General features: G+C 53.4%; 1 protein-coding gene across 2 annotated transcripts in view, besides 2 other annotated features; it reads left to right on the forward strand.

Annotated features, from left to right (window-relative positions):
• Nucleotides 1,326-2,070: an enhancer, noted in NCBI's record as "H3K27ac-H3K4me1 hESC enhancer chr19:34111820-34112564 (GRCh37/hg19 assembly coordinates)". NCBI's record gives its function as "activates a minimal SCP1, AML or CMV promoter by ChIP-STARR-seq in naive and primed H9 embryonic stem cells {active_cell/tissue: H9 hESC(naive and primed)}" and the evidence as "EXISTENCE:reporter gene assay evidence [ECO:0000049][PMID:30033119]".
• CHST8 (carbohydrate sulfotransferase 8) overlaps nucleotides 2,365-21,068 on the forward strand; it is a 151,557-nt gene continuing 132,853 nt past the window's right edge. For both annotated transcript variants that reach the window (NM_001127895.2, NM_001127896.2), the window contains exon 1: nucleotides 2,365-2,708. The gene's annotated coding sequence lies outside the window, so the exon portion shown is untranslated. The remainder of the gene's footprint in view (nucleotides 2,709-21,068) is intronic.
• Nucleotides 18,784-19,315: an enhancer, noted in NCBI's record as "OCT4-NANOG hESC enhancer chr19:34129278-34129809 (GRCh37/hg19 assembly coordinates)". NCBI's record gives its function as "activates a minimal SCP1, AML or CMV promoter by ChIP-STARR-seq in naive H9 embryonic stem cells {active_cell/tissue: H9 hESC(naive)}" and the evidence as "EXISTENCE:reporter gene assay evidence [ECO:0000049][PMID:30033119]".

Below are 21,068 nucleotides of genomic sequence, written 5' to 3' on the forward strand. Positions count from 1 at the left end.
GGAAAATGGAGAGAATGTCAAAGGAATGCAGCGTTATTGATTCCTAGTGGTGTCTGCCTGAATATTAGATGCAAATAAGTGCTAATAAGTACAGTTGGGAAAGCTAATGGAAAAACCATCCTTCCCAGGAGGATCGCGGCACACAGATGCACAGTGTTGCTGAGATGGCTTGGCTCGCTCCACTCACTGGTCACGGCAAAGCCTGTATAGATGCATCCCAGGGAAATAAAGCCTGTGTAGACTTGTCGCATGGAAGTACTCATGGTCCAGAGCCCCCTTTCCAGCTTTGAGGCTGGGCTCTGGAAATGGGAGCTCCTATTATCTCCCCATTGCAGTTAAGTCTCTCTTTCTCTCTCCGTGTGTGTGCATGTGTGTGTGTGTGTGCATGCATTTGCCCTCTGGAGTGTTCATGGTACTGAAGAGATTCTCTTGACCATCAGGCCTCTGTGGCAAAAGTTGTGTGCTCTGTTCCAGGCCTAACTGCAGACAGGGAGCTCATGGGCAGCTGCCCAGCCAAGCTATGGTCAGGACCTTGGGTGGCAAGAGGGGCTGCAAGTGTGGGGTAAGGGGACCACAGGGACAGGGATGGGGTCATTGCACTGTGAGCTAGTCCGGCAAGTGACTTTTTGCTCACTCCACTCTCCCCTCTCTTTGTTCCTACCTTCTCTCCTGCTCTGCTCCAACAGCTTTGGGATGTAGGATGAATAAGGGTTCCACTGCCCTGTTTTTCCTGACACTTGAGTCCCTGGCCCTTGCACTCAGCTCCTCCAATCTGCACCTGACTGAGGCGGAGGAGGGTGATTTCAGACACACACACACACACACACACACACACACATTCCCCTCATGCGTGCAGCCAGTGGAGTGTGCCTGGGTCCCAGCGCAGCCCCAGGCCTGGGTCACTCCGAGCCTAAAGTCCTGGAAAGGGAACCCCAGAACAAAGCCTATCCCAGTTTGGAATCATCACACCTGGGCCATTCTCCAGATGCGTGGAGTCCAGCAAAATGGTGGCATTTTTGCATCTCAATTCGCTCATCTGTAATACGGGAGTGATAATGTCTACTCTGTTGCTGCAAGAATTAAAGGAAGACCATGATCTCTTTGTCATGCTTCTATTTATCTTCTTATCTGTCCTGGTCTATTTTTGGATGCTCTGAGCTTACCTGGGGCATTAAGGAGGCCTCATGGCCCTGGGGCTGAGGGGCTCCCTGGCCGTCCCCAGGAGTGGCTCTGCTCTCCGCCTGGTGTCCCCCACTCTGGTCAGTCAAGACCCATGGGCCCAGCTCACTCCCCAATTCCATCACTCACTCTAGGTCAGCTGGTAGGAGTCAGGCCAACCAGCCAGCAGGTACCATTAGAGAGGAGAGAGTAAGGGTCTTTCACTTTATTAAAGGCTTCTCTGCTGTTGTTTGAAAATACTGAGTGTCCCTTCAAGACTAACAGGTGACTGTGTGCACAGTTTCCTCCAGCTCCTGTGAGAAAGCAGTTGCCCCCCTTCCCAAGGCCTGCTTGTCCCCTGCAGGCTGGGGCTGCCTCTTCTTAGGAAGAACAAGGACCCGAATCCAGGGCCCCGTGTTCCTGTCCCTACTCTGTCCCGGTGCTGTGTGGCCGTGGGCCGGTTCCACCCTCCACGCTGTTTTCCCGAGTGTGTATGAAGAGGGTCGGTTGGCCCCGCTCTCAGGCTGGTGACCCGACACAAACTTCCAGGATGAAGTCCTGAAGGGAGCACCTGTTCGCAGGGCACTTTCAGCAGAATCTAGAGCCCCAGGGATTTGAGGATGGATGCGGACACCCGGGCCTGAGGCAGCTCGCGGCCTTGACCGAATTCCACGCGAGCTGAAGCCCAGGGATATCCCAGAATCTTCCTCAGGATCAATCTTCCGCCTTTCACCGGCCCTGCGCCCCCGCAGCATCGGGTCCTGGGCGCGCGCCCCTGCCCCGCTGTGGTCAAGGCCCGCCCCGGTGACGCCTGGTCCTTTTCCCGGGTTGGCGCCGCGTGCGACCCACCGAGGCAGTGGCAGCACTGGCCGCGGTCTGGAGCCTAGCGTCAGGCCGGAGTCCGGCTCTCCTGAACCGGGAGACCGGCGCAGCCCCAGCCACGACCGCTCCCACCCCCGCGGCCGCCGGACCGCGCCCAGCAGCGACTCTTTCTGAGAGCGCTGCCAGAGGGGCCGCGGGAGCCGCAGAGCGCGCGTGGGCGCGGCGCCCGCGAGCCCCCGGGAGGGCCGAGTGCATCGCTGGAGCGATCCCCGCCCGGCCCGGCCACCGCCGTAGCCGCCACCACGGCGGGGCGGGGCACGGGCCGGGGGCGGGGCGCCGGGCGGGCGCGGCGCTATTTCCAGCCTCGCCGGAGGCTTCGCTCTCACTTCGCTGGGAGCCTTCCCGGCGCGCAAGCCGGATCCGGCAGTGCTGCGGGGAGGAGAGAGGACGAGGCGGCGGCGGCAGCAGGAGGTGGGGGACCGATCGCGCCGGGGGCCGAAGAGGAACGCCGCCCCGCGCCCTCTCGCTCCCCGCACGCTCCGGCTGCCGGCCCCACGCTGCTCGCCCACAGATCGCACTGGGTTCCGCTTGGAGCGGGCGGAGGCACCGGGCCCGAGCTGGGTCGGAGGTCCTCTCCGCCGCCTGCGCGCCCCAAGCAGAGGATCCGCCGCGGAGAACCGCTCCCGGACTGGAGGCGCCCGCGGCCTCGGGTGCGTCCGCTGCGCCAGGTAAGTGGCTGCGCCCCTGCCCCACCCCTGTTCCCGCCCTGCGCAGGCTCCTGGCCTGCAGAGACGCCAGGAAGGGGTCCCGAGCGGGCCCCGGACTGCACCGCTCGCCATCCCCGCCACCGCACGCGAATGGGAGTCCGAAGCTGCGGGCGGAGGTGGGCGCGCGGGGCTCGGGTCTGGTTGCACTTTGGGGACCGGCCCCGGTAGCGGGAACTTTAATTAGACTTTCTCTCCTTGGATCTCACTCGCTGCCGCGCTTCTGGGAACTGCCGTCCCTCGGGCCCTCTTGGTCCCTGCGGACTCCCGCTCCGCCTCCTGGCCCTCGGTGCTGCCCGCGGGGAGGCGGCGTCGGGCGCTGAGCAGCGAGCGCCGAGGGCCAGGCAGGAGCGCTCGGGGCGCTGGGGCTTCCTGGCGCGCTCGGAGCCGGGGCTCCGGACGGGTTGCGGCGGGCAGAGACTATGGGGGAAGTTTAAGTGGCCTTGGCTTCCTACCCAGCGGCTCCGTCGCGCGCGTCCCCGACCCGCAACTCTCCAGGGCACCGGCCTGTGAGTGCTGGAGGCGAGTGTGCGTGCGTCAGCGATGGTGTGAAGGTGTGTGCGTGCGTGTGTCGGGAGTGCGGGAGTCGGAGCCTGGGGCGGCTCCAGGGGGCGGGGAAATGATCCGTTTGGCCGCGGGACCGAGCCGAGCTCTGACGGCGGCTGCAACTCCGGCTACCGACTCTGCAGACCCGCTCTGGCCTCGCTGGAGGCCAGCCGGGCCAGGAGGGCGATCACGGGTTTTGGCAGTGCCCGATGCTGGGGCTTGGGTCTGATGTGACCCCGATTCCTTCTCCAGTGCGGGACTCCCGCCGCCCTAACTTTCGCGTACATCTTGTCTCCAGGCCCGCGACCCCGACCCGGAGTTGAAGCGGCTGCGGCGCCCTCGGCTGTGGGCGCTGCTGCCCGGCTGTCTGTTTTAACCCAGAAGTAGGCGCCGATCCTGGGGCTCTCTGTCCTGCAGTCGTCTCCGGCGTCCCAGAGGACTCTGCGTCCCTGGGCCACTCCCGCTGGCTCAGGAGCCGTGATCAGCTCCGTTAAGGGGAACGCGCGTCCCGGCCCCTCTCCATCTGCTTGGCGCGATCTGGCGCAGCAGCAGAGCACGTGGGAGAGGCGTTGGGTGCAGGGAGGTAGTAGCTGCTTTGGAGTGGATGGTGGAGAGGGGCGGGGGACAGAGGGGTAAGAGGCAGATCAACCCCCTTTTATTTCCCACCGCCGCCCAAGGCCCCCAGGAGCTACAATACCAAGCCCACTTTCCTGGGTAACCTTTCTCTTCTGAGTTCACCTTGACCCTTGCCTACCTGTGGGGAAGTCTTTCCCTAAGTCCTGCCCTAGGACAGGGCACCCGTGGAGCAGGTGTGGCAGAGCCCTTAACATTTTCCAGCTGTCATGACCTTTCCTGCCCACCCTGTGCCCTGTCCCAAAGGCAAGGCAGACAGGCCACAGGAAGGACACTCATCCCAGCAGGAGATCCTCTTTTAATTTTAATCAGGACACCCCAAGCACAGAAGGCGGCGTGGGAGTTCATTCAGGAGCGTTCAGCAGACTGGCCTCTGTGAAGTGACCCACGGGAGGAATAACATTGGAACCCTGAAGAGAGGGACCTCTTGAGGGTCTGAATGTTGGTTCCAGTGGGACTGGCTGATCAATTATCCAATAGCATTTGAACACAGAAAAACCTCAAAGCCGGAACCTGACCCATTGCCTGGCCCAGTCGCCCTGGGACACACAAACAGTGCAGCTCATTTATTTACTTATTTATTTATTAACCTGGAATCAGACTCGGCAAGAGTGAATTATGTTTCCCGGGTATTGATTTTTAAAAAGACCCCAAATTAAAAAGTCAAGGCTTTCTTAAAGCAAGGTCAAGGATTAATTATTTATCGAGAGGCATCCATCAGGCAGCGTGGGGGCTCATTTATAAATTGCCTGAGCAGGCAAAATGAGCATCTTTTGATTTTCCTTGGCTCCAGTTGGGAGAGGAGAGCAGGCTCGTCTGACCTCCTGGGCTTGGTAGAACATCCCCCTCGGACTGTAACCGACGACAGAGGATGCTTTGTAACTCAGCCTGCTGTTAGAGATGCCTTTATAATCTTGTAGCCAGAATATCACTTGGGAAATTTCATGCATATTTGCTGTGTTTCCATAATGAACATTTACTGATTACAGGGTATCCAGGGAATTTCATTTTTTAAACATTTATTCAAATCTCTGTTTATGTAAGCTAATAAGTCTGGGAAAGTTCAAAAACGACTTTTTTGCCGTATGGTTGTTGAGAAAGTGTGTCTGGTGGGCTACTCTCAGAATTTGTCTTCAGTTCTCTTAAAAAGGGGAGAGTCAGATTTGCCTGATTGGAAACCTCGCGCAGGCTGCTCCCCTGCTCTGAGCTCTGAGTTCCTGCCAGAGGCAGCCTGATAGGCTTTTTGTGGTTTTGCTGATGGAAGAGAGGAAGGGGAGCTTTGATCATTGCTGATGCGTCTGGCTGGAGAAATTTTTAGTGAGTGCGGCTGTGCTTGTAGGGGCTGATGGGGAAGGTGTGGCCCAAGCTGAGGTCCCTGGCTGATGTCCCCATCTCCTGCCTGCTGCCTGGCCTGGAATCTGAGATCCCTGTCTTAGCTACATCTGCTGCTTTGCAGCTTGGAAAAACCTCCCTCCCTGATTTACTGGTGCGTGGCAGCCACACTGGAGAAACGTGGGGCAGCGGGGAACCTGTGAGCAGGAAAGAGGACACAGGATTATGGCAGCTTTCTTTCTTTCTTTTTTTTTTTTTTGAGATAAAGTTTCACTCTTGTTGCCCAGGCTAGAGTGCAATGTTGCGATCTCTGTTTGCCACAAGCTCTGCCTCCTGGGTTCAAGCAATTCTCCTGCCTCAGCCTCCCGAGTAGCTGGGATTACAGGCATGCGCCACCACTCCCGGCTAATTTTGTATTTAGTAGAGACAGGGTTTCACCATATTGGCCAGGATGGTCTCGATCTCCTGACCTCGTGATCCGCCCACCTTGGCCTCCCAGAGTGTTGGGATTACAGGCGTGAGCTACCGCGCCCCGCATGGCTGCTCTTTAGTGAGCAACCGTGGCAATTAGAGCCGATAAACACCATGTGGAATGAGTGGCCAGCCTTTCAGCTAACCAGAAGGTGACGAGTTATAAACTGGAGATTTATATAGTGCTGGCCCAAGGAGATCAATGTGACCCGGCAGTGGCACAGCAAAAAATGAAATAAATAAGTAAATATGTTTTTAAAAGATCGGCCAGGCACGGTGGCTCACGCCTGTAATCCCAGCACTTTGGGAGGCCGAGGTGGGTGGATCACTTGAGGTCAGGAGTTTGAGACCAGCCTGACCTACGTGGTGAAACCCAGTCTCTACTAAAAAGACAAAAATTAGCCGGGCATGGTGGTGCTCACCTGTAGTCCCAGCTACTCAGGAGGCTGAGGCAGGAGAATCACTTGAACCTGGGAGACAGAAGTTGCAGTGAGCCGAGATCATGCCCCTGCACTCCAGCCTAGGCGACAAAGCGAGACTGTCTCAAAATAAATTTTTTTTTTTAAATTGAGGTTGGTGCCTGGATGTAGATATGGCATCAGTGTCCTGCAACCTCAGAAAGTTGGCTGGGCATGAGCAATCTGCATGGTGACAGCGTGGTGACAGTAGGCTGTTTGGTGCTGTCTTTGGCGCCATATTCAGGGCTCATCTGACTCCAGAGCGGCTGTGTTCCCTCCAGAGGAAACCCACGGACCCAGACAACCCGGGGACAGAGCTGCATTAGCTCAGGTGCCAGAGGATGCGGCAGACGCCATCTCATTTCTTATCAGCTGGAGGATGTGTGACCCTGTGGTCAGTAAATCAGCATGGCAGATCGTGAGGCTTACAAATTGGTCATGGAAAAAAGTTGTGACTTTTACCCTGTACAAAACTACCTGTCATTTGTGATGTGGTGTTCTAGCCTGCACTGGCTGGATTCATTCCCGGACCCTTAGAAACTCAGCAATGCAGCCTGGGCCACCGAGAGACTGGGGAAGCCTCCGTGCAGGTGGGTTGACACCAAGAAGCAGCCCTGGCCCCATTGCCAAAGCCACCTTTTAGGAAGTCAGAGAGTATCTGTGCAATAATTTGGATGTTTGTCCCCTGTGAATCTTACCTTGAAATGTGATCCCCAGTGTTAGAGGTGGGGCCTGGTGGGAGGTAGGTCATGGGGGTGGCCCCTTTATGAATAGATTAATGCTATTGTGAGGCAGGGAGTGAGTTCTTGCTCTATTAGTTCCCACAAGAGCTGGTTGTTAAAAAGAGCCTAGCACCTACCCCCTACCTCTGTGATCTCGGCACACACCGGCTCCTCTTCTCCTTCCATTTTAAGTGGAAGGGCACGAGGCCCTCACCAGATGCAAATGCAGGTGCCATGCTTCTTGTACAGGCTGCAGAATTGTGAGCCAAATAAGCCGCTTTTTTTTTCCTTTTTTTTTTTTTTTTCTTTTTAGAGACAGAGTCTCGCTCTATTGCCCAGGCTGGAGTACAGTGGTGCTATCATAACTCACTGCAGCCTTGAACTTCCAGGCTCAAACAATCCTCCTGCTTCAGCCTCTTGAGTAGCTGGGACTACAGATGCACACCACCATGTCCATTAATTTTTAATTTTTTTTTATAGAGATGGGGTCTCCCTATGTTGTCCAAGCTCATCTTGAACTTCTTGCCTCAAGCAATCCTTCTGCCTCAGTCTCCTAAAGTGCTGGGATTGCAGATGTGAGCCAGCATGCCTGTCCTCTTTTTTTGGGGGGGGGGCGGGTGGGGTGACGGAGTCTCGCTCTGTTACCCAGCCTGGAGTGTACAGTGGTGTGATCTCGGCTCACTGCAACCTCTGTCTCCCAGGTTCAAGCAGTCCTCCCACCTCAGCCTCCCAAGTAGCTAGGATTACAGGCATGCACCACCATGCCCAGCTAATTTTTTTTTTTTTTTAATATTTTTAGTAGAGATGGGGTTTCACCATGTTGGCCTGGCTGGTCTCGAACTCCTGACCTCAAGTGATCTGCCCATCTCGGGCTCCCAAAGTGCTGGGTTTATAGGCGTGAGCCAGCACGCCCGACCCTTTTTCTTTATATATTACCTAGCCTTAGGGATTCCTTTACAGCAACAGAAATGGACTAAGACAGTCCGTATGCAGGCCTGGGGCTGGGGGCAGCAGACACAGCTGTCCTCCCAGGTTGGTGGCCTGGGTCTTACATCCGCACTCCGCACGTAGAACACCATACATTTCTGGGAAATAGTATTTCTTGGTGCTGGTGACTGAGGGCAAGATGCCCTTTCCCTGCCAAGCCATGACCAGTGTTGGCCCTGATGAGTGACATTTATTTGAACTAAATTAGAATCATCAACGTTGAAACCTGGAGCCAAATGATTCTCAGTCCCACACTCCTGGTGCCAGGCCTGTTGTCACTGTCCCTCGCCCTGCCCCTGCATGTTTATGGAGCAGGTATTAGGTGTCTTGCACTGTACCAGGCCCTGTGGACATGAGGTGAGCAAAGCTAAGGGTGGTCCCTGCCCTTGTGAGTTAGATGGAGACCCTCCTCATTTATTCCTCATTCACTAATTCATTTTCTGCCAGACAAAGACATTAATAAAAAAAATGACTAATGTGTGATTCTAGGCTGTGATAAGGATATAAAGAATATAAGGAAATAAACACTCAGGTACTATGAGACCTACCAAAGAGCAATCTGACCTGCACTGAGAGGTTAGGAGGACTTCTCGGAGGAGGTGGCCCTTCAGCTGCGGTCTGAAGGAGGAGTGGGAACTAAGCAGGGTTGGTGGGGAGTGTGGGAGGAAAGGATGGGGAGAGAGAATCCAGCATGCCAGGCAGGCACAGGCAAGAGCATGCAAAGGGCTTCCTGTGGAGGGAATGTGTGAGAGGGCATGAGGAGCACCATCTGGGAGCTGTGGGAAGGCCCATGTCGCCAGCAGAGTGAAGAAGCAGGTGACATGTGGCTGGAGACCCATCTGTGCAGGGTCTTCACAACCAGGGAGGGACTTGGGACTTTATCCTATGAACTGCTGCAGAGTAGGAAGACCAGCGAGGCTGGAGCTGCAGGAATCTTGCAGAAAGACCACTGTGGCCTTAAATAGGAGTGAATGGGCTTCCCCTCAGACATTGGTCTGGTCCATCAGGCTCTGTCTCCTGGAGCCGGGGTGGTTGAGCCTAATGTGCAATGGAGTCTGTCTACACTGGTTGAAACCAGTGTGTGATGTAGGCAGTGCATCTACGCTGGTTGAAACTAGTGGGCGGTGTAGGCGGTGCGTCTACGCTGGTTGAGCTAGTGCACAAAGCAGGCACTGTAACACTGGTTGAGCCCCTAGTTCATGATGCAGGCCATCTGTTTATACTGGTGGATCTCAGCACACCATTCACGCCATCTGTCTACACTGGTCGAACCAGTGCATTCTGCAAGTCATTCTGTCTAAACTGGTACCTGGCTGGATTAGGTGTGGGAGGGGATGTGGTAAGGAGTGGTCAGGATGGTTACCCATGGGACGCTATTGGGAGTTGTCTACTCCCTGAGACAGGGCTGCCCCCTGGAGTGCTAAGCACCTGTCCACTCTGGCTGAGTCACATCCTCCTAGGACTGGGTGGCCAGGCTGCTGGTTGTGTGGCCCCACTGTGCTCTGAGCCCTTGGTTCTTCCACTGCCTTCCTCTCTTGTCTGCTCACCATTCAGCCCTAGCACGTCCAGGGCACTCGGCAAGTGACAGCCCAGTGCCCATAGCTCCATGGTGGGGACAAGCTGCTCGACGGCCAGACCCATGGTCCTGGCCCAACTTTTGCCTCCTGACTCATTGAGGATGGGCCTCCACTGGGGGAATGGAGCTGACCACCCACTGTGGCTCGGATGCCCACTTCCCTCCGGAGCTGAGTGCTGCCCAGTGGTGGTCTCCATGTGTGTTTCATCCACTTAGCTTCCTGGACCCCTAGAGTTCCTTCACCTGCCACCTGCCTGATGTAACCTGGCAGCTGGCTGGCACCTGCCCCAGAAAGAATCCTCTCTTATACCCTTTTCTTGCTCTCAGCCCTCTCTCCTTTTCCTCCTCCCCAAGGGAGCCAGTCTCTACCTGTTGCACCCTCTGGGAGGGGCTCTGCCCAAGGCTGGGAGCTCCGCAGTGCCCTCTGATGTTGGTGAATTTCCTGTGGCTGTCTGCAGCACAGGTCGGGCCCTGGGTTCCCTGCAGACATCGGCCCTATCTACCAGGCTCTGTCCTCCAGAGCTGGGGAGCAGGGAAGCAGGTCTGTGAGTCACCCCATTTCCCGTTGTGCCCATGCTGCTGGCTGCAGGCCCTGAGCTGAGTGGCCACCGAGCTGCAGGCAACAGCCCAGGTCGCTGTCACCTTGTCCTCACTGTCTGGGCCTGAGCCAGCTCCTCCCTGACTGGGCCAGACTCGGGGACAGGAGGGAAGAGAGCTAAGCAGAGGATGCTAGGAGCTGCACATTACTCCTTGGTCCCCTAGGCCCCCTCCCAGGGCTGATTCCTTGCCCAGAGGGCGGCCTCTCCAGATGAGCCTTCCTGGGCTGGCCTGGCCACTCCATTCTGTCTGTTGCCTTCACCACTGTGGACCCCTGGACATGCCCAGATGCTTATCAGTGGGAAGCTGACACAGGAGAGCCCCTCTGCCAGCAGCCCCTAGCCCGGGCACAGACTGACTCGCACTTGGCAGACAAGTCGTCCCCACCTTCGAGGCTGCCTTTTTGGGGGCTGACTCATCTCTTGGGACAAGACTCATCAGCCTAGGCTTGCAGCACTGAGACCCTCCTCCAGCCTTGAGCTGCAGGAGCTTTGCTTCCTGTGCCGCATCCAGGCACCCAGCAAACACTGACCCTGACCTGCCATATGCAGAGCCTCGTACACCTGGCCCTGGAGAAGTTGAGCAAACACAAGCAGGTTACAGTGTTGGTGCAGATGCTGCTCTTTCTGGTTGTGTTGGCCAGGAGGAGCTCGGCATGGAGAAGGTACTGAGCGATTGCTTGTGGGCAGGCAGAGTGCATTAAACTGTGCAGTCTGTCTACTTCAGCATAGCCGGTGCGTGGGGAAGGCAGTCTGTCTACACTGGCTGGGCCAGTGTGTGGTGCAGGCAGTCTGTCTACACTGGTGGGGCCAGTGCATGGGGCAGGCAGTCCGCCTACACTGACGGAGCCAGCACGTGGGTCAGGCAGTCTGTCCACACTGGTGGGGCCAGTGCGTGGGGAAGGCAGTCTGTCTACACTGGCTGGGCCAGTGTGTGGTGCAGGCAGTCTGTCTACACTGGTGGGGCCAGTGCATGGGGCAAGCAGTCCGTCTACGATGACGGAGCCAGCACGTGGGTCAGGCAGTCTGTCTACACTGGTGGGGCCAGTGCGTGGTACAGGCAGTCTGTCTAACTGACGGAGCCAGTGCATGGGTCAGGCAGTCTATCTACACTGGCTAAGACAGAGTGTGGGGCAGGCAGTCTGTCTACACTTGGTTGAGTCTAGGGCATGAGCACTAGAACATTCCATGTAGTCTGTGCTTGCCCCACTCTCTGTGGGGTCTTTGCACAAGGTTCAGAGCTCTCAAACTCTGTAGATTCAGTGGCTTTTCCTGTGGCTGAGCTCAGCCTGGGTCCGGGCTTCCCCTCAGATGTTGGCCACGTCCATCAGGCTCTGTCTCCCAGAGCTGGGGTGGTCAAGCCCAGTGTGCAATGCAGTCTGTCTACACTAGTTGGAATCAGTATGTGATATAGGCAGGCTGTCTACACTGATTGAGCCAGTGCAAAAAGCCGGCGCTGTCTATGCTGGTTGGGCTCAGCATGTGATTCAGCAATCTGCCCACACAGGTTGAGCTGGGGCAGCCAGCCTCTCTCTGGCTTGCTGAGGCCAGAGCTCTTGGTTCTTTCTGACACCTTCCCTTTTTCCTATGTGATTCTTTCTCCCGGGAATATTCCTCCTTACACCTCCTATAGACATCTGGGTCTGATTTGATTCTGACTTCCAAAGACTCAGCTTTCGTGTGTCTGTTTGAATCTCCTTGGCAGAGGCTGACATGGGCTGGGAGTGGCACTGGGATCGCACGTGGATTTCCCCTCCCTGTTGCTGTGCCTGGGGCTGGGCCTGTGCTGGTGCAGAGGCTACCTGCTGTCAGTGGTCATCACTACCTTGCCATCCCTCGCGACAGCCACTCACACGCCTCTTTCTCACAAAAGTCATTTAGCGAGGATTACCACCTTGGTGTGCGTGGTAAATTGCATTTCTCCTGGTTGGGGCCATCTTGCTGTTTCCTGCTTAGATTTGGGGCCTCATGAGGTTTGGCCTCATCTGCAAATTTAATTTCATGACCATTCATCCCTGTGAAAGCACAATCTATGCCTATTATTTCACTCTTCTTGATTCCCTCTTCCACGAGTTAATGTGTCAGCGCACAGCCATGGCAACCACTCCCCGCCCTCCCTCCACCCCAGGCAGCCACCTCTAGGTTGCGGCTGAAGCTGGGACCTGGAGTCAGACCACCTGGGTTCAATCCTAGCCTTACCACTCGGTCACTGTGTGGGCTAGGGACCCAGTTTCCTCATCCACAAAACGGGGTTAACAAGAGAATCCACCTCCTAGAGCTGTTGTGCCTAAGAGTCCACAATCAGTGGCAGCTGCTACTGCTATTATTACTATTATTATTACTACTCCCGTTTTATCTTGGGTGTCAGGAAGCATATTGGTCAAGGGCCTTGCCTGGTGATGTGACAGAGGCTTAGGGGGCAGGCAGCCCCACTGGCCAGTGTCCCCTCAAGTTCTGCTTTTTCTTTTCTTGTCTCTCTCTCTCTCTTTTTTTTTTTTTTTTTCCAGACAGGGTCTCCCTCTGTCACCCAGGCTGGAGTGCAGTGGTGCGATCTCAGCTCACAGCAACCTCCATCCCCCGGGCTCAAGTAATCCTCCCAGCTCAGCCTCCCGAGTAGCTGGAACTACAAGCTCCCATCGCCATGCCTGGCTATTGTTGTTTGTTTGTTTTTTGGTATTTTTAGTAGAGAAAAGGTTTTGTCATGTTGCCTAGTCTAGTCTTGAACTCCTGAGCTCAAGCCATCCACCTGCCTCGGCCTCCCAAAGTGCTGGGATTACAGGTGTGAGCTGCCACACCCAGCCAAATCATTTTTTTCTAAGCAGTTTGCTAATGATGTCTTCTTCTTGTCCTGCATGCACCATTGTACATATTTAAGCCTTTTATTCCAAGTGTAGTACACATACAGAAAAGCGAACAGATCCTACGTATACAATGCAGTGAATGTCTGCAAACTGAGTGTGCTGTGTACCCAGCACTGGAGCAGGGATCAGAACATGACCAGGACCCCAGAACCCCCCCATGACCTCTTCCAGTCATTCCCCTCCACCACAGAAAACCGCTCCCCTTACTTCTAACGATATGGATTGGTTTTCCTTGTGTGTGTGTGTGTGTGTGTGTGTATGTGTGTGTGTTTGAGATACAGTCTCACTCTATCGCCCAGGCTGAAGTGTAGTGGTGCAATCTCGGCTCACTGCAACCTCCGCCTCCTGGGTTAAAGTGATCCTCCTGCCTCAGCCTCCCGAGTAGCTGGGACTACAGGTGCATGCCACCACACCTGGCTAATTTTTGTGCCTCAGCCTCCCTAGTAGCTGGGATTACAGACACGCACCACCACACCCAGCTAATTTTTGTATTTTTAGTAGAGACGGGGTTTCACCATGTTGGCCAGGCTGGTCTTGAACTCCTGACCTCAGGTGATCCACCCGCCTCGGTCTCCCAAAGTGCTGGGATTACAGGCATTAGCCACCACACCTGGCCCCTTGTTTTTAAACTTAATAGAAATGGAATCATGCAGTATGTATGCTCCCATGTCTGGGTCAGCATCTGGTTTCTGAGATTCATCCATGTTGTTTTGAGTTGTGTTATTTGTTCCTTCCTCTTTGTACAGGATTCCATCATGTGGGTAGACCCTAATTTATTTTCCAGTTTCTTGTTGATTGGCATTTGGGTTAGAGTTTTTGGCTTTTATGGACAGTATTGCTATGGATATTCTTGTGTGTGTCTCTTAGTGATATGTACACATTTTTTCCTTTTTTAGAGACAGGATCTTGCTCTGTCATCTAGGCCAGAGTGCAGTGGCGCAATCACAGCTCACTGCAGCCTTGAACTCCTGGGCTCATGCCAGCCTCCCGCCTCAGCCTCCCAAGTAGCTGGGACCACAGGTGTGCACCACCATGCTGGCTAATTTTTTATTTTTATTTTTGTAGAGATGGGGGGGTCTCACTTTGTTGCCCAGGCTGGTCCTGAACTCCTGAGCTCAAGTGATCCTCCTGCCTTGGCCTCCCAAAGTGTTGGGATTACAGGTGTGTGTCATCATGTCCAGTTCCTGCACATTCCTGATGTACTTAGAAGAGAATTGTTGGGCCCCAGGGTGCAGGTACTGTTGAACAGTTTTCTTTTTCGTGTGTGTGTGTGTGTGTGTGTGTGTGTGTGTGTGTGTGTTTAAGACAAGATCTCACTCTGTTGCCCAGGTTGTAGGGTAGTGACGTGATCATGGCTCACGGCAGCCTTGACCTCCCACGTTCAGGTGGTCCTCCTGCTTCAGCCTCCCAAGTAACTGGGACCACAGGTGTGCACCACCACCACTCCCAGCTTTTTGTTTTGTTTTGTTTTGTTTTGGTATTTTTTGTAGAGACAGGGTTTCCCCATGTTGTCCAGGCTGGTCTCGAACTCCTGGGCTTAAGCGATCCTCCCGCCTTGGCCTCCCAAAGTCCTGGGATTACAGGCATGAGCCACCACTCCCGACTCCATTGCTGGACTGTTTTCTAAAGGGGTCGTACTGATGTTTCCACCTCCTCACCAGTATATGCATGAGTGTTCCGTACGTAACTCTCCCACTCCACGTCCTGTCCAATACTTGGCATTGTGAGTTTTTCCCATTTTAGCCATTCTATGAGTATGCCGAGGTATCACACCGTGGTTTTAATTTTATTTCTCAGATGACGAATGCAGTTCATTTTTTTACCAAGGATATTTTGGACCTGGAAACATTATTCAACAAATTTGAAAATTTCCTTTCGTCCCCAAATTGTAGAACTCACTTCCATCCCCACATTGTGGAAACGTCTGGCAGTGCTTCTGATTTCTTCTGGGCGGGTTTGAATCTCCCAGGCTGGAAGCCAAGGGATGGAGTAGACAAGAGTTTCTCTGGATGAGTCTGGGGAACTGGCCACCTGCCCCAGAATCACGTGGGTTGCTGGTCAGAGATGCAGGTGCTGAGCCCTGGCCCAGCCCCGGACTCATCAGACAGCCCTTGACCCATTGGTCCTTCTAGGGCTGTTTTTTTTTTTTCTTGTCACGAAACCAAAAAAAAAAAAAAAAAAAAAAAAGCATGGATGCTGCCCTTTCTGTCATGTCCACGGCTGTGTCACAATGCCCAGAATAGTCCTGCACAGGGCAGACCTGCTGGGTTGAAGGGTTTCCCATTGTTGTCTCCATCCTCTCCCACCCCAGCTGACTTGGCGGGGACTCGTTAGTCAACTGGGCTGCCGTGGTGAGGGCTCTGGAAGTTGGTTTCTCGCTCGCTGGGGGGTGTCCCATGTCTGAATGACCTCCTCCTTCTCCAAAGCCAACTTCCAACAGAGCTGCAGCCGTGCCCCCAGCAGCCTTGCTCACCCCCAGTCCTCTAGGCACTGGCCATTTGAGAGCCTCCTTGGGCGACCTCCTCCCTGATGATGCATGTGTTATTGGGTCCCTCTGGAGAAGCTTAGGAGCCCCCTGATCCCCCGAAAAGAACAGCAATCCATCCCTGCACCATGCGGCCCCCTGAGCTTTTCCAACACCGTCTTTTCATAGATGATGTGCCCTTGGTCAAACTAAGGCAGAAGGGCCATTCCTGTCATCAGCTGCTCCACTCCTGCCCCTCAGCGTTTTCATGAAGACCGTGGTGAAGCCTCCTTTCTTTGGGTGTGGCTTGCCCCTCCCTCCTCAAGTTTAGCAGAACTACTGGGAAAGCAGGATGGCCTGGGGGAGGAGAGCTCTGGGTCAGACCCTTTGGGTGGTTTTGAGACCCAGTCACTGCCACAAGAGGAGGGAGGCAGTTTCGTATACACAACCCTGACTTAGCTAGCAGGGAGGGAGGGCAAGGGATCCTAGCTGGGATTCCTCCTGTAATGCCAGCTCTTTGGGAGGCCCAGGCAGGAGGATCTCTTGAGCCCAGAAGTTGGAGGCTGCAGTGAGTTATGATGGCACCTCCTCCACAGAGGAGGGAGGCCCAGGCTAGGCCTCAAAGATGGGTGGGGGGGTGACAACACCTCATGGACCACTCAGCATGAGCTCCGTCCCTGAGGGCCAGCAGTGGAAAAAATGCGGGCTTAGTTCCCCGGAGATACTGCGGTCCAGTTGACCCACCACACAAGGGCATAAGGCGATGGTCAGGGTTCACTGGAGAGCTATGGAAGGCTTCTTGGAGGAGGCGAGCTGGGGATTGCTTACCTCAAAGGCCAGGGGTGAGAACTTTATCTTGGTACAGTGGAAATTCTCTCCAAGCTTTGGGACTACAGTGCATGGACAGTGTGAGCCAACTACCGTTTGCTTTAAAATAGGGCAAAAATGAATCCATGGCGCACACATTGTTTATGCGATGTGGAGGCGGGCGCGCAAAGACGGAAGAGCTAAAAGCAGTTTGGGAAAAACAACACTTTTTTTTTTTTGGTGGGAAGACAGATTAGAGAGGTTTATGCTTTTCTGTGATAACTAATATGAAAGGTTTATCAAAGTTAAAAAAAAAAAAAAAACCTCTTGACGCTTTCTCCAAAATTGATCTGAAGACTTGGCAGATTTGAGGAATCATTCAGTAACGTTTTACGAGTCGATGCTAATTTGATGCGGCAGACCTGTGCATCGCGCCAATTTACTGCCAAACCAACATTAAGCACGGACCTCTCGCGCAAGGTTTATAGGCAGACAGCTCATAAAGATGCATGCTTGACAAGTATTCTGCTTCTCTTAGGATGTGGAATATGAAGTGTTTATCAAAAACCACCTAAATCGCCCTTGCCTTGACTCGTAAACAACCTGGCGGCTTCAGGCTTGGGCCCTATGCAGTATTTCACGTCTCACCACTACGGGTCCTGGTATGTGCGTGAGTGCCTGAGTCTTTGTCTCCAGAAGCCACAGTTAGAGGTAGAAGTGTTACAGGAAAGGGGTCCCGATCCAGACCCCAAGAGAGGGTTCTTGGGTCTCGCACAAGAAAAAATTCGGGCAAGTACATACCGTAAAGTGAAAGCAAGTTTATTAAGAAAGTAGTCCGGGCGCAGTGGCTCACGCCTGTAATCCCAGCACTTTCAGAGGCCAAGGCGGGCGGATCACCTGAGCTCAGGAGTTCGAGACGAGCCCGGCTAACATGGTGAAACCCCATCTCTACTAAAAATACAAAAATTAGCCGGGCATGGGGGCTGGCGCCTATAATCCCAGCTACTGAGGAGACTGAGGCAGGAGAATCGCTTGAACCCGGGAGGCGAAGGTTGCAGTGAGCCGAGATCGCGCCATTGCACTCCAGCCTGGGCAACAAGAGCGAAACTCAGTCTCAAAAAAGAAAGAAAGTAAAGGAATAAAAGAATGGCTACTCCATAGACACAGCAGCCCCCAACCACTGCTGGTTGCCCATTTTTATGGTTATTTCTTGATGATACGCAAAACAAGGGATGGATTGTTCATGCCTCCCCTTTTTAGACCATAGAGGGTAACTTCCTGATGTTGCCATGGCATTTGTAAACTGTCATGGTGCTTGCGGGATTGTAGCTGTGAGGTCGACCAGAGGTCACTCTCATCACCATCTTGGTTTTGGTAGCTTTTGGCTGGCTTCTTTACTGCAACCTGTTTCATCAGCAATGTCTTTATGACCTGTATCTTGTGCTGACCTCCTATCTCATCCTGTGACTTGGAATGCCTTGACCATCTGGGAATGCAGCCCAGTAGGTCTCAGCCTCATTTTACCCAGCCCCTATTCAAGATGGAGTTGCTCTGGCTCACACGCCTCTGACAGAAGGATCCCTGTGGGGTGTGAGATACCTAAAGAAAGGTTCGCTTTCTTTTTTTTTTTTTTTTGAGACGGAGTCTCGCTCTGTCACCCAGGCTGGAGTGCAGTGGCGGGATCTCAGCTCACTGCAAGCCCCGCCTTCTGGGTTCACGCCATTCTCCTGCCTCAGCCTTCCCAGCAGCTGGGACTACAGGCGCACGCTGCCACACCCGGCTAATTTTTGGTATTTTTAGTAGAGACGATGTTTCACCCTGTTAGCCAGGATGGTCTCGATCTCATGACCTTGTGATCTGCCTGCCTCGGCCTCCCAAAGTGCTGGGATTACAGGCGTGAGCCACCGTGCCCAGTCGAAAGTGAACCTTTCACTGGGTGTGGTGGCTCACGCCTGTAATCCCAGCTCTTTGGGAGGCCCAGGCAGGAGGATCGCTTGAGTCCAGAAGTTCGAGGCTGCAATGAGCTATGATGGCACCACTGGACTCCAGCCTGAGCAAGACCTTATCTCTTAAGAAAAAAAAAAAAAAAAAGAAAGGTCCCAAAGTGTAGGATCTGAAGCAGCATGCCCCCTCTTCCAGGAAGGCTCAAACATCCCCTTCCTAACAGATTCTCCAAGGCTGCCCTAAAAGGAAATAAAGGCTGCGCCCAAATGAGATCTTTGGCCCCAAGGAGATAGATTTCTTGCTCTCATGTTTGTTTCCTGGGCGACTGTGTGATGGATCTTCCCTGCATAGCTCTCTCCATCCAAATATGCTGTCAGAGCCTCACCAATTTCAGGATATCACTCGAGCTTTGTTTTGCTGGTCGGAAAGTGTTTAACAATAAAAATTATCAAAACTCCTGTCTTTCACCACCGAACACCACCGCTGACGTTTTCCTCAAAGGAAAAGTGGACTTGTGTGGCATTATTCTACTGTATCTGTGCCTCCAGCCCCTCCAGCCTCCTCCCATGGCAGTGTTAATTACCCAAGCTTAAACGAAGAAGGTTGCAGGTGGGGGCAAAGCATGCAGACCGCTGTCAGCACAAAGCCTCGTGGGTTTTCGCAAGGGGAAATTTGATCTCGGGCAAATGTCAAGGCGTTTTTGAAATCTGTGTTATGATATCAGCTCATTGCCAGTGTAGGACTTCATCTGAATTTCATAAATATTGTATGGGACTCCCTCATTGCCACCTTGGCCGGCCACAGTGCACAACAGCCACCCCTCAGCACACACACGCTCTCCATAGCAATTGCAATCTATCGCTGAGTTGTCATGAAAAGCCAATTGGTGATATTTCAATCACAATGTTCTTGTAACCAATTCCATTCAAATTCTGTCGGAAAGGGAGTTAAGGCTTCATCCTGCTGCTGGGAGAATGATATGCTAAATGTAGCTTCCTGGGGCCCTGGCAGCCAGCCAGGGCTTTGTAATTTATAGTTCACCTTCGTGGTTCTCCAAGTGACCTTGGAACCTGCATGCTGGTGGATTTTTTAGGTTCACACGTTGTCCTCCATCCCCTGGTGAGATTGCTCCCCAAGTGAGTGCTCCCTGGTCCATCAGGCAAGAGCTTGAGGGAGAGGATGTGGATGGGGGGCACCCAGAGAATGCATGGCTGGGGATCAGAAGATTTCTTGTTGCTGCTGACCTTTCTTCTAAAATTGCTGTCAGCCAGGAAACAGTCAAATATTGTGCTTAAAGGTGGCTTGCAGGTGACAGGAGCCTCTCTCCAGTCCTAGCACACAGCAGGTGATCCTGACCAAAAAAAAAAAAAAAAAAAAAAAGAGGAGGTACAATATGCGATTACGTTCATCAGCTATTTTTGGCTGAGGAATAAACAAAATGGCCCAAACTGCTGCCATTCGAGATTCTAGCAGGGGAGTGGCATGTAGAAAAGATTAATGTACAGTTAAAACCCGTGTACGGGTAAATTACAGGGTGACAGCTATCTAATGCAAACACTGCAGACGTGTAATTAAGAGGAGTTACAGCGCTCGAGGATGAATTTGCTGAGGGAAGTGCTAGGGTGCTGTCTGGAGCCCAGGGGCAGGGGCATGGCACTGGGATGGTGTGGGGGCTGCAGAGGTGGCCAGGAGGAGCCTCTCAGCATCGGGGCAGCCTTGTAACCATAACAGGTCCATTGCCTGATGCACGCAGCAAGTCAATGTGCTAAGATGCCAGGTTGCGGCAGAAAAAGAGGATTAATGGTAAGGTCATGGAACGAGGAGATGGCAGACAACCTCAAATCCATCTCCCTGGGGAATGTGGGGTTAGGATTTGTAAGTTTTGGAGTGGGTGAAGTGTGGAGATCGTTGATGGGTGGAAGAGTGCAGGGTAAAGTCTTGGGACCGGGAGAGGAAGAAGCTGTGTTCTCAGGCTGATCCCCCTCCTCTGTAGGGGGTCCTCAAACTGTTGGGGGCAATTTGGGGTCTTTTCAACATCTTAAGTGAACAAAAACCTTATGATTCTAAAATCAGGGGTCCTGTCTATAGGGACAATGGAGAAGCAAATCAAATTTTTTTTTTTTTTTTTGAGACAGAGTCTCACTCTGTCTCCCAGGCTGGAGTGCAGTGGCGCGATCTCGGCTTACTGCAACCTCCACCTCCCAGGTTCAAGTGATTCTCTGGCCTCAGCCTCCCAAGTAGCTGGGACTACAGGCATGCGCCACCATGCCTGGCTAATTTTTTTTTGTAGTTTTAGTAGAGACAGGGTTTCACCATGCTGGCCAGGCTAGTCTCGAACTCCTGACCTCGTGATCCGCCCACCTCGGCTTCCCAAAGTGCTGGAATTACAGGCGTAAGCCACTGCGCCCAGCAAAGCAAATCAATTCTTACACCATTTTATGACCCTAATGTCAGAAATCTTACCTATAGGAGCAATGGGGGTGACCACGGCCAGGATCTAGCACCACGTGACTCCTTGCCACAAGGAACTGGGCCAGAGTGCAGCCTGATTAATGCTTAATTATAACTATATTTCTGTCCAGAACCTAGCGTGCAATTCTTGCCAACCCTGTGGGGACAGTTTCAATCTGGGATGTGGTGGAAGCCATGGCTCCTTTGGGTGGCTCAGCCCACCTCTCCAGGTCTGTCCGTTCCTGTTCCAAGCTTCCAGCCCTTTCTGGAGCTGCCCTGGTCTCCCCGACCTCTCACTCACCTTTGGCTCTGTGGCCTTGAGAGCCCATGGATGTCTTTTATGTTTTTAATTTCTCCTGCTTTGTCAGCTTTCTAAGGAATATATTACATTATGTGGAAGTTGGATGCTAACAAGATTTGTATGAATAAATTAGACTCTTAACTTTTTTATGTTATTACAAAATTGAAATGGACTC

Source organism: Homo sapiens, chromosome 19 (genome assembly GCF_000001405.40).
Source record: "Homo sapiens chromosome 19, GRCh38.p14 Primary Assembly".
NCBI classification, from domain to species: Eukaryota; Metazoa; Chordata; class Mammalia; order Primates; family Hominidae; genus Homo; species Homo sapiens.